Source organism: Homo sapiens, chromosome 8 (assembly GCF_000001405.40).
Source record: "Homo sapiens chromosome 8, GRCh38.p14 Primary Assembly".
Taxonomy (NCBI): Eukaryota; Metazoa; Chordata; class Mammalia; order Primates; family Hominidae; genus Homo; species Homo sapiens.
The window spans coordinates 30,577,736-30,590,424 of record NC_000008.11 but is presented as its reverse complement, the minus strand read 5'-3'; the positions used below and the strand labels follow the sequence as shown (position 1 = coordinate 30,590,424).

General features: G+C 43.2%; 1 protein-coding gene across 6 annotated transcripts in view; it reads left to right on the top strand.

Moving 5' to 3' along the window:
- The window catches only part of GTF2E2 (general transcription factor IIE subunit 2), a 79,919-nt gene extending 67,812 nt beyond the window's left edge, over positions 1 to 12,107 (top strand). For 4 of the 6 annotated variants that reach the window (NM_002095.6, XM_017013364.2, XM_017013363.2 and 1 more), the window contains exons 7-8: positions 10,029 to 10,144; positions 11,388 to 12,107. In NM_002095.6, coding sequence (NP_002086.1) covers positions 10,029 to 10,144; positions 11,388 to 11,504 — 233 coding nt within the window. In that variant the 3' untranslated portion in view covers positions 11,505 to 12,107. Of the gene's footprint in view, positions 1 to 5,266; positions 6,001 to 10,028; positions 10,145 to 11,387 lie in introns of those variants that run through there. The other 2 variants (XM_011544509.3, NM_001348353.1) reach the window with 1 other exon arrangement.

The window sequence follows — 12,689 nt, the reverse complement described above, 5'->3', positions numbered from 1 at the left end:
AACCCAAATTCACATTAAATTAATGGGTATTTATACTGGCTTTCTTCATAACCACCAACAATTGGAAACAACTCACATCCTTTAACTGTCCCTTAACTTCCCCTTAACTGTGGCACATACTTAGAGTGGAATACAACTCAGCAATGAAAAGGAACAAAGGACTGACATTCCAACAACATGGATGAATCTCAGAGGCATCGTGCCTCATGAGGGAAGCCAGATTCGAAAGGGACATGCTGTGTGATTTTATTTATATGTTTATGATATTCCTGGGAAACAGAACCATAGAAACAGATCAGGGGCTGCCCGTGGAGAGAGTGACTGCAGAGGAGCATAGGGTGATTTGCGGTTGTGGAACTGTCTATATCATTATCATGGTGGTGTTAGCATGACCATATGCTTGTCAAAACTTCAGGAATTGTACAGTAAAATGTGCAGGATTTTAATTTTCATAAATTATACCTTAGTAAAATAAAAGGACAATTTAAAGTAGTTGTTCAAAAGAATATGGTGTTTCTCCCATTGTAAAGCAGTTTTCAAGGTAAAGAGTTACCCCACGGCTTCTCCCCTTCTTGTTTTGGTGTCTGGTGTTTATCCCGAGTAAAAAGTGCAATTGCTCAGTGTAGATTTCAGCAGGATCACCAAGAACAGCAAGTGCTGCCAAGTTCTTCTCATTCTGTCCAGCCTCTGCTGCACAGATTTGGGCAGACGATGCCTGTTCTTTACAGATGTCCAGATAGCAGGTCATACTGTGGTAGTGACAGAATTCTCAAGAAATACTTGTTGAAATGTTGAGGATGAAGTGGCACTTGTCTTTATAATCCTGCCTGCTTAAGTTATACTTAAAATTTATTTTTTATTTTTAAGACAGCGTCTTGCTCTGTTGCTCAGGCTGGAATGTAATGGCACAGTCATAGGTCACTGCAGCCTTGAACTCCCCTGGACTCAAGCCATCCTCCCACCTCAGTCTCTTAGCTGGGACTACAGGCATATGCCTCCATGTCTGGCCAATTTATTATTTTAAAAATTTTGGTAGAGATGGAGGTCTCGCTTTTGCCCAGACTGGTCTTGAACTTCTGGCTTCAAGTGATCCTCCCACCTTGGCCTCCCAAAGTACTGGGATTACAGGTGTGAGTCATTGCACCATGCCAATACTTTTTTCTTTTTTTTGAGGTGGAGTCTCGCTTTGTCAGCAGGCTTGAGTGCAGTAGTGCGATCTTGGTTACTGCAACCTCTGCTTCCTGGATTCAAGTGATTCTCCTGCCTCAGCCTCCTGAGTAGCTGTGATTACAGGCGTGTGCCACCACGCCCGGATAATTTTTTTTTTGCATTTTTAGTAGAGATGGGGTTTCACCATGTTGGTCAGGCTGGTCTCAAACTCCTGACCTCGTGATCCGCCTCCCTCAGCCTCCAAAAGTGCTGGGATTACAGGCGTGAGCCACTGTGCCCGGCCAGGCCAGTACTTTTTTAAAAAGAAAATTTTCAAGCAGTGTGTATTAGTTTCCTGTTGCTGCTGTAAGATGTTACTACAAACTTCATGGCTTAAAACAACACAAACGTATTATCTTACTGTTCTGGAGGTCAGAAGTCTTAAATGGGTAAAAAGGGCTGCACTTCTGGATACTCATGGGAAGAATTCGTTTTCTTGCCTTTTCAGCTTCCAGAGGCTACCCGAATTTCTTGGCTTGTGTCCCAGCATCACTCTGACCTCTGCTTCCACCTTGACTCAGGCTCTCTTGCCTGCCTCTTTCCTTTATAAGGACCCTTGTGATTACATTAGGTCTGCTCAAATAATCCAGGATAACCTGCCTTTCAAGATTCCTTTTTCTTTGGACCAACACCTCCTCATTCCCCTTCTCCTAGCCTCTAGTAGCCATCATTCTACTCTCTGCTTCTGTTGAGTTCTGATTGTTTTAGATTCCACGTAGAGGTGAAAACATGCGGTTTTTGTCATTCGGTGCCTGGCTTATTTCATTTAACAATGTCCTCCAGGTTTATTCATGTTGCAAATGACAGAATTCCTTTCTTTTTTAAGGCTAATAGAATTCCATTGTGTGTATATATATTATATTTTTGTTATCCGTTCATCTGTTGATAGACACTTAGACTGAGTCTTTATCTCGACTGTTGTAAGTAATGCTGCAGTGAACATGGGAGTGCAAGCATCTCCTCAACATACTAAGTTCAAGTCCTTAGAATAAATATCCAGAAGTGGGATTGCTGGATCAAATGATAATCTAGTTATTAGTTTTCTGGGGGGACTCCATACAGTTTTCCATAATGGCTACACCAATTTACATTTCCACCAACAGTGTACAGGTGTTCCCTCTGCTACATCCTCATCAGTGCATGTTATCTTTCCTCTTTTTGAGGATAACCATTCTCACAGGTGTGAAGTGATGGCTCATTGTACTTCTCTTTCTCCTTTTTCCTTTAAGTCTCTGCCCCAGTTGGAAATCATTGTGGTTTTGATTTGTATTTCCCTAATGATTAGCAATGATGAGCAATATATCTGTTGGTCATTTGTGTGGTTTTTTTTTTTTTTTTTTTTTTAAGACGGAGTCTTGCTCTGTTGCCCAGGCTGGAGTGCAGTGGTGCGGTCTTGGCTCATTGCAACCTCCGTATCTTGGGTTCAAGCAATTCTCCTGCCTCAGCCTCCCAAGTAGCTGGAATTACAGGTGCCCGCCACCATGCCCAGCTGAGTTTGTATTTTTAGTAGAGATGGGGTTTTGCCATGGTGGCCAGGCTGGTCTCGAACTCCTGACCTTAGGTGATCCACATGCCTTGGCCTCCCAAAGTGCTGGGATTATAGGCATGAGCCACTGTGCCTGGCCTCATTTGTATATCTTCTTTTGAGAAATGTCTGAATATTTCTGACATTTCAGGATTTCTGAATTTTCAGACAATATTCAGATCTTTTGCCAATTTTTAAATCAGGTTATTTTTTTTTTTTTGCTATTATTTTGAGTTCCATATATATGGAAAATATATATAATTTTTTTTTCTTTTTTAGAGGCAGCGTCTCATTTTGTTGCCCAGATTGTAATGCAGCGGCATGATCTCAGCTAACTGCAGCCTCCACCTCCCAGGCTGAAGTGATCCTGTCATCTTAGCCTCCTAAGTAGCTGGGACTGCAGATATGTACTGCCAAACTTGGCTAATCTTAAAACATTTTTTGTAGAGACGAGGTCTCACTATATTGCCCAGGCTGGTCTCAAACTCCTAGGCTCAAGCAATCTTCCTGCCTCGCCCTCCCAAAGTGCTGGGATTATAGGCATGAGTTGTGGCACCTGCCCTATATTTTGTATATTAAACCCATATTAGATGTATTGCTTGCAAATATATTCTCCCAGTTTGTAGGTTGTCTCTTCAGTCTGTTTACTTTGCCATGCTGCAGCTTTTTGGTTTGTTGTAATCCCAGTTGTCTATGTTTGCTTTTGTTGCCTGAACTTTTGGGGTCAAATCCAAAAAATGATTGCCCTGACCAGTGTTGTGTTGTTTTCCCTGTGTTTTCTTGTAGTATTTTCACAGGTTCAGGTCTTATGTTTAAGTCTTCAATCCATTTTGAGTTGATTTTTCTATATGGTGTGAGACAGTGGCCTCATTTCATTCTCCTGCATGTGGATATTCAGTTTTCCCGACACCCTTTATTGAAGAGACTGTCCTTTTCCCATTGTGTGTTCTTGGCACCTTTGTCAAAGATCAGCGGATTGTAAATGCATGGGTTCATTACTGGGCTTTTGTTTATGCCAGTCCCATGCTGTTTTGATTACCGTAGCATTGTAATATAGTTTGAAGTAGTGTGGTACCTCTAGTTTTGTTTGTTTCGCTCAAGATTGCCTTGGCTATTCAGTTTTTTTGTGTGTTTCCATTAGACTTTTAGAATTATTTTTTCTATTTATGTGAAAAATGACATTGGAATTTTTATAGGGATTGCATTGAATCTGTGGATCACTTTGGATAGTATGGACATTTTAACAGTATTAATTCTTCCAATTCAGAATCCAAATCTTGAGATCTCCTCATCTCAAGATTCTTAGTCACCAAAGTCTCTTTTATGGTAACGTATTCACAGGTTCTGGGGATTACGTTGTGGACATCTTGGGTGGGGGTGCATTTTTCTGTGTAGCACACAAGAAATTATTTTGATAGGTCTCAAATGTAAGATCACTAGAAGATGAGGTAAATTGAGAAATGTCCTATTTTCTGGAACTGCAAAGTGGATATAATGACACTTTTGAGGATAAAAAGTCACGTTAATAACACGTGTTGTTAAAGGAAAAGGGAGGAAGGCATGGCGTGTTGCTCGTTGAGATTCTGCATTTGGTTTTGTTGTTGTTGTTGTTTTAGAGACAGGGTCTCTCTTTGTCTCCCAGGCTGGAGTGCAGTGGCACAATTGTAGCTCACAACGTCAAACTGGGTTCAAGCTCTCTTCCCACCTCAGTCTCCTGAGTAGCTGGGACTACAAGTGAACACCACCATGCCCGGCTTGTTTTTTAAATTTTTGAGATGGTGTCTCTATATATTGCCCAGGCTGGCCTTGAGCTCCTGGGTTCAAGCAGTCCTCCCACCTCCATCTCCCTAAGCTCTGGAATTACAGGCATGAGCCACTGGGCCTGGCCTTTTTTTTTTTTTTTTTTTTTTTTTTTTTTAAAGGGCAAAGATGTACCTTAATGCTAACACTAGAACACCATAGCCTAATGTGGGGCTGAGAAAAAGTGGCAAGTGCGTGAATTATTAGTAAGTATGATCCTCCTTATTTTTAGGTTATTTCTTTAAAATTTTACACTAGCAATACACAAATATTTCTGCATATTATTAATAAAACCTTTGTCAAGTCTGCAGAACAAAAAAATGAAAATTCTCTAAGCAAACTGTATTCTTTTCTCTGGGGATACCTATTGGTGTGTATTTTCCACATCTTTACGATGTATTTAATATGTATGTGTTTTTGCTTTTTAAGAAATTTTTAGAAGTTTTGTTTCTTCTGCTTTACATAAATGAGATCACTTTGTGTCTAGTAGCTGATCCTCTTCTTAAATGTTTTATATTGCCTTTATTAAAGACACCAGCACACAGAAAATTATGATGGGTGTTAGATGGTGATGATAACAGTAATAGGTGTAGATAATGCTGTTTCATTTGCAGGCATTATTTTCGGTGCTTTATTAACTCCTCTAATCCTCACTATTCTATGAGGCAGGTATTATTATTACTATTATCGTTATTATTATTATTGAGACGGAGTTTCGCTCTTGTTGCCCAGGCTGGAGTGCAATGGCGTGATCTCGGCTCACCGCAACCTCTGCCTTCCGGACTCAAGCGATTCTCCTTCCTCAGCCTCCCAAGTAGCTGGGACTACAGGCATGTGCCACCACGCCTGGCTAATTTTGTATTTTTAATAGAGATGGGGTTTCTCCATGTTGGTCAGGCTGGTCTCGAACTCCCGACCTCAGGTGATCCGCCTGCCTTGGCCTCCTAAAGTGCTTGGATTACAGAGCCACCACGCTCGGCGAGGCAGGTATTATTATTATCCTCACTTTACAGATGAAGAAATGGAGGCAGAAAAATTAAGATGTTTGCACCACTTTGTGCAGGAAATGTGGTAACTGAGGTCACAGCCAGGCCATCTGGCTCTGAGGCCTGCACCACACTGTTGTGCTACTTTTGCATTTACGGGAAAGGGCTAAGCACAGACAAAATGTGAGTGCGTTATTTGGGAATTTTAAGCAAAGCCTCATTGGTAAGTTGGCTCATTTTCTTCCCTTCTATGGCAGTTACACAGTTTTTTATTCTTAACTCATGTGGGACAAGGAAGGGTCTTTTGAAATGAAAGGATCAAATCTGAGCTTTTAAATTCTAGTCTGTTTTCTCCTCTTTTCTGCTAAGAGAGTAGATTTCTAAATCAGTTCTGATTTTATTTACCCTTACGGTTTAGAGTGTGCCTGACTTTCATGATACTTGGCTGTCTTCTGCCATAATAAAGTGTCTGCCTTTAAATTTGATGTCCCTTGATCATTTTGTTTTCAAAAAAGAGATTGCTATTTTTAAAAACCCAAAATATGTAGATCTTGGTTTTTAAATACCATTCTATAATAAAACAAGTCAGGAATCCTTGAAGAAATCATTGATTCCAAATGAGGGGAAATACAAGATGAGCCTGGAACATCTTTTAGTACCGCCAGAAAGTGAGAGAAAGAAGAAAAACTGGAGGAAAAAAAAAAAAAGGGAAGCAAGTCAGGGACATAGGAACCAACATGAAGGAAATCTTAGTGATTAGAGCTGGGATGTTTGAACCACAAAATAAATACTGATCGTCGGCTGGGCACGGTGGCTCACGCCTGTAATCCCAGCACTTTGGGAGGCTGAGGCGGGCAGATCACAAGATCAGGAGATCGAGACCATCCTGGATAACACGGTGAAACCCTGTCTCTACTAAAAAATACAAAAAGTTAACTGGGCGTGGTGGCTGGCGCCTGTAGTCCCAGCTACTCGGGAGGCTGAGACAGGAGAATGGCGTGAACCCGGGAGGTGGAGCTTGCAGTGAGCCGAGATCGCACCACTGCACTCCAGCCTGGGTGACAGTGCGAGACTCCATCTCAAAATAAATAAAATAAATAAATAAAATAAATAAATAAATAAATACTGATCGTCATGGATTATCTGTGTAATAAATATGTAGATATAAATCTGTACAGTAATATCCATGAGTCTGCTAAATTAAATAATTGAAAAACAAGTTGGAGGTTGGGCACAGTGGCTCAGGCTGGTAATCCCAGTACTTTGGGAGGCCAAGGCAGGTGGATCGCTTGAGTCTAGACGTTCGAGACCAGCCTTGGCAACATGATGAAACCCTGTCTCTACTAAAAATACAAAAGTTAGCCTGGTGTGGTGGTATGTGCCTGTAGTCCCAGCCACTTGGGAGGCTGAGGGAGGAAGATTGATTGAGCCCAGGAAGTTGAGGCTTCAGTGAGCCAAGATTGTGCCACTGCACTCCAGCCTAGGTGACAAAGTGAGACCCTGTCTCAACAAACAAACAGTGAACTGAAGGAAGAGCAGCTCTTTGTGTTTTTTGTTATGTTTTGTTTTTTGAGATGGAGTCTCGCTGTGTTACCCAGGCTGGAGTACAGTGGCACAGTCTCAGCTCACTGCACCCTCCGCCTCCCAGGTTCAAGTGATTTTCCTGCCTCAGCCTTCTGAGTAGCTGGGATTACAGGTACCCACTGCCATGCCCAGCTAATTTTTGTATTTTTAGTAGAGACACAGTTTCACCATGTTGGCCAGGCTGGTCTTGAACTCCTGACCTTGAATGATCCACCCTCCTCGGCCTCCCAAAGTGCTGGGATTACAGGCATGAGCCACCGTGCCCAGCCTATTATAGTAGAATTCTAATTAGTACATATGGAAGGAATGATGGAAATAATTTGTCAGTAGTTACTTACAAGTAGTCATTTTTGTAGGTAAGCACTACCAATGGATGCTATTATAAAATTAGTGATAATATGAGAAACGGTATTTATATAGTCTGAAAATATCTCTCCATTAATTATTAACTACAAAGGAAAAACTGATAGCTTCATGACAGAGAAACCTGAGAGATAACACCTTGCCTGATGGTCAGCGTTTACCGGGTCCATGTTGACACTATGTAGCTTGCTACTGTGCCCCAAGAAGGGCACAAGCTCGTTACTGTGTTGTTCTTGCCAGAATTGCATAACCTCAATCTAGTAATGAGGAAATACTAGACAAACCCAAATGGAAGTTTCTGTAAAACAACTGACCAGTGGGGAAACAAAGACTGGCCACACTTAGAGAATGGAGGAGACCAAAGAGATGTGACAGGCAGGATCCTGGGCCAAGAAAAGAGCATCGGTGAAGTTGAAGTTTCACTTCAAACTTGTGAAGTTTCAGTAAGGCCTGTTGATGAATTAATAGTAATATGTCCATGTTAGTTTCAATAATTATACAGTTATGTAAGGTGTTAACATTAGGGGAAGCTGGATAAAGGGCATATAGGAACTCTGTGTACTCATTTTGTAACCCTTTTGTTAGTGTAAAATTATTTTTTAAAAGTCTAAAAAATGTAAAAAGAAAAATATAGGCCAGACATGGTGGCTCGACACCTGTAATCCCAGCACTTCGGGAGGCCAAGGCAGATGGATTGCCTGAGCTCAGGAGTTTGAGCCCAGCCTAGGCAACATGGTAAAACCTCATCTCTACACAACCCCCCACCCCCCCAGAAACAACTTAGCTGGGCATGGTGGTGTGTACCTTGGTCCCAGCTCCTCAGGAGGCTGAGGTGGGAGGATTGCTTAAGCCCAGGAGGTGGAGGTTACAGTGAGCTGAGATTGCGCCACTGCTTTCCAGTTTGGGCAACAGAACTAGACCCTGTCTCAAAAATAAATAAATTTTAAAAAAAGAAAACAGTCTGTCTTGTCTAGGGTGTAGTAGACAATGATGGTATTTCATACATTCGGTAGTCAAATCGTTGAAGTCTTGTCTAGGCTGTAGTAGACAGTGATGGTGTTTCATACATTCAGTAGTCAAATCACTGAGGACCTGTCATGTGCTAGGTACAGTGCCGACTGTCATGGAAACGAGATGGAAATACGCCGACTATCATGGAAACAAGATGGAAATAGAGCTCCCTGCTCTCAAGGAGCTTAGAGAGGCCGAGACAATCATGCACACAGTTGTTATCAGTTAGGTCATGTCCATAATGTGTGCAGATGAACGTTCAGTGGGTGTGTAGTAGAAAGAACCCCTAATGTATCTATGGAAATTAAAAAATCTTATTTAGAGACATTTTGGATTTAAATAACTTTATGCTCAGGTTGAATTCTTTGTAGTAGATTTTGCCACTTTTGCCATTGGTCACCTGCAATGAAAAGCTTCAGGGTAGGTGGCAGTAAACCGATTTCCATGGTATCACCAGAGTCCTGCCTATGTGGGCATCATTTGCTTTATGCAGCGTGTACTGAAATGAGAGAGAAAGGGGGAAGGAAGGAAAAGGGGAAAAGGAAAGAAATCTGGCCTAGCACAGTATCAGATGCCTACTTCATTTATCATTTGTAAACGGACCGTGGGAAGTTCTTGGCTCTGGAAGAAAAGGAGGGCGGCGCTGGGTGAGGGTCTGGGGTGGGAAGAAAGGAAGGGAAGGTGCATCCCCTCAGTGCGTGGGGCAGTTGTGAGTGTGAGGCTCTGTGAAGCCTCGGGGCTCAGAGAGCTTTTCCTTTTTTCGTTCCTGAGCGTGTAAGTCTTAGGATTTTGTGTCTGAAAGTAGCTTCTGATAATTAAGTGAAACCAGTGATCAGAACCTGTCTTCAGGAGCAGAATGTAAGATGTAAATAATGTTCATTTGGAATGCTTCCCAATTGTGGTCTCTCTTGGTTGCAAAAATAGTGATGTGGCAGAGGGACTACAGGTTTCTGAAGACAAGCTGCAGGCAGGACTGTCGCCTTTCTCCTTGTATTACAGAGAGGAGGTGAGACAGTGTTTCTATTTCAGCCATCCCCCCTTTCCCTTTCATGCCTCCTTAGTCACCAGTTACCAGGTTATTTGATTTCAAAAGTCTTTTTTGCAGATAAATTGTTGAATAACCTCATTTCCATGTGAAACTTCGGTTCCCGTCTCCCTACACGTTTCTTATTTTCTATTATCAATGAGAGAGGAATGAGTATATCATGCTTAGGGGAGCTGAGCAGGAAATAAGCTGTTAGCCCTAAATAGAGGAATTAAAGGAGGGTGTTGACGGCCCAGGAAAGCAGGGCGGCTTCATTGTGGCAGCCCTCATTTGCTGGCCTCAAGAAACAGCCCCACTGTCGGGGCTGTGTGGGTGCAGTTCTGTCTCCAGGCCTTTCCCTGCACCGTGTCCCACATGTGGATGTTCTGCCCTGACTTGTTTCATGATGACATATCAGATGTGCTCATTTGGATCCAGAGGAGATAACACTGAAACCTGGATTTTGATCAAGATGCTATAGTTTGTAAAAATGGATTGTAAAATAACTAGTGTCTGTTTGATACAGAATTTCAGAAACTGTGGAGGAGTGTCACTGTAGATTCCATGGACGAGGAGAAAATTGAAGAATATCTGAAGCGACAGGGTATTTCTTCCATGCAGGAATCTGGACCAAAGAAAGTGGTGCGTAATCTCTAGCAAAGCAGCTTAATCCCCTGCCCTGGGAACTGTTAGCCTGCTCCGCTTTCTGCCCTCTGAAGAGCTGGGAGTTGTTCCCCCGCCATTGTTTCTCAGTGTCCGCAGCCCAGGTCACATCTGAGGTATTGCAGGCCTGCAGACCCGCCCTCGGTGCTGCTCCAGGCCTGTGAGTGCCTTTCTACACCCAGCTCCTCCCAAGCAGTCCTGCTCTTGAGGTATAGCCATATGGAACCTTCCAGGGCCTGTGTGTTCCCCACTCTCCCACTCTAAGCTGCTACAAGCCCTTCTCCCTATTCTTAAAGGGATGCTGTGCCTTGATCTGCACAACCTTTCAGACTTGAACGGGGCCCTCCCCTGCTCCGTGAGCCTCGCCGTCCTGGTGCCTGGTTCTGCCATAGTAACTTTCAGGTCCTCTAGGAACCAGATATTTTTGTCCGTATAGTCTCTAAATCCTGCTCACAGGGGATGTTAGTAATTAAATGATGACTTTTACATTGCCTTGCACCAGCAAATAAAATCTGTAGTCTAAGAACAAAGCCCGGGGGGATGATTCACCAGCACCCTTGTTAGCAGTGCTGTGCTCCTCCCCCCTTTCCTTATCCACCGTCATGCTTCATAGCTTGTCACCTGTGTCTTTCTGGGGTGTGGGGTGGGCATGTGTGTTTGGTGAATTTTTAGGACTCACCTAAAGGGAAGCTTTATTGTCAATCTCTTTCCACAAATGAGTGTAATTGCAGCCCTTCATGATTTCCTATTATTGTCTCATTTGTTAATTTTTTTCATCATGTGATGCTAATATTTCAAGTATATAGAAAAGAATAGAGAATATTACAGACCTTCATGTGCTCCTCCTTTCTCAGGATTTTGCCATATTTTCTTCAGATCTTTTTAAAATCGGTAATGGTGGATACGTTTTTAAACCTGATGACAGAGACAGAGCTGAAGGGCTTCATCGTCCCTTTTGTTTGACTTAGTGCCTAGAACCATTTTGGCAGGTTTTTGTGCCTGCTCCTTCATTCCCGATGGCATCTGCATCTCAGGGGAACAAAGGCCCGGGGTCTGGTCAGGGCGTGTGCTGTGCCCCATGTGTGCTGCTGGGTGGCAGAGCAGGAGAAGGGTCCGAACCTGGCATCCTCAGCCACTGGCATCTGGGCATGCTCAGAACATCCTGGCCACACCACCCCTCAGAGCAGCTGTTGTTTCTAATTGTTTTTACCTTTTCCTTTAGGCCCCTATTCAGAGAAGGAAAAAGCCTGCTTCACAGAAAAAGCGACGCTTTAAGACTCATAACGAACACTTGGCTGGAGTGCTGAAGGATTACTCTGACATTACTTCCAGCAAATAGGGAACAGTTTTGCCCTGGAACAGAGTTACAGATACACAATCAAGAGTGTTCTTGCTGATGCTCGGGGTCTGAAGACTGTCTTCCTATCTGCTTCTTGCGGCTGAGGAGAGGAGCAGTTCAGTTTACAAAACAAGTGCAAATTACCAAACTCAAAGCTTATTTGAGTAGAATGGGCTCATGGGCAATGTGATGTTCCCTGTTAACCTTCTGTTACTCCCTGGGAGAAAGGCGCTGAGCGTGGCATGCAGGTGTCTTTGCTGTGTTTTTCTCCACTTCTAAATGGTTCCTGGTTCCTTTCTTCCTCGTTTGTTACTTTAGAGCAAGTTTGCCCATAGTCTTGAATGCAATATTTGTTTATTCCAAAAGAACATATTTATAATAAAATCACTGTAGAAGGATTTTTAAGATGTTAGTGAATTCTGTTTCTTTTCATTCTCGGAAATGGCAGGAAGCAGCTCCAGTCTCTGATTTCCATGGGTCACGTGCTGGGGATGTGATGAAGCCTGCAGTCTGCACTGTGTTGCTGAGCACATGGATTTCACCACTGGAACACAGGTGTGCTGCTTGTTAGCAAGCAGAGCAATAAAGATGTGCTGGATGTCATTGTTAATGTTTTCTTTTAAAAAGAAGCGTCAGTGTCAGCCGGGCAAGCTGGCTCACGCCTGTAATCCCAGCACTTTGGGAGGCTGAGGCAGGTGGATCACGAGGTTAAAAGATCGAGACCATCCCGGCCAACATGGTGAAACCCTGTCTCTACTAAAAATATAAAAATTAGCTGGGCGTTGGGGCATGTGCCTGTACTCCTAGCTACTTGGGAGGCTGAGGCAGGAGAATCACTTGAACCCGGGAGGCGGAGGTTGCAGTGAGCTGAGATCGTGCCACTGCACTCCAGCCTGGTGACAGAACGAGACTCCGTCTTAAAAAAAAAAAAAAAGTATCAGTGTCCAGCTTCTTGGGTTTGGTAAATTCCAGGATGGCAAGCCTTTGTAGTGTCTCCTCGTCAACCTGAACGTCAGCTATACCATGCCTCCACCCTCATGTGGCCTGACCGGAGATGGTTCTGGTGGAGATGCCCTCTGTCACCGGCCCAGCTCATGAGAGCCATTACCAAATATGTGAGTGTTCTTTAGAGTGAGGGTGACTCACGGGAAATTCACATGGTTCTGCTTTCTACGGCAAAGTTTG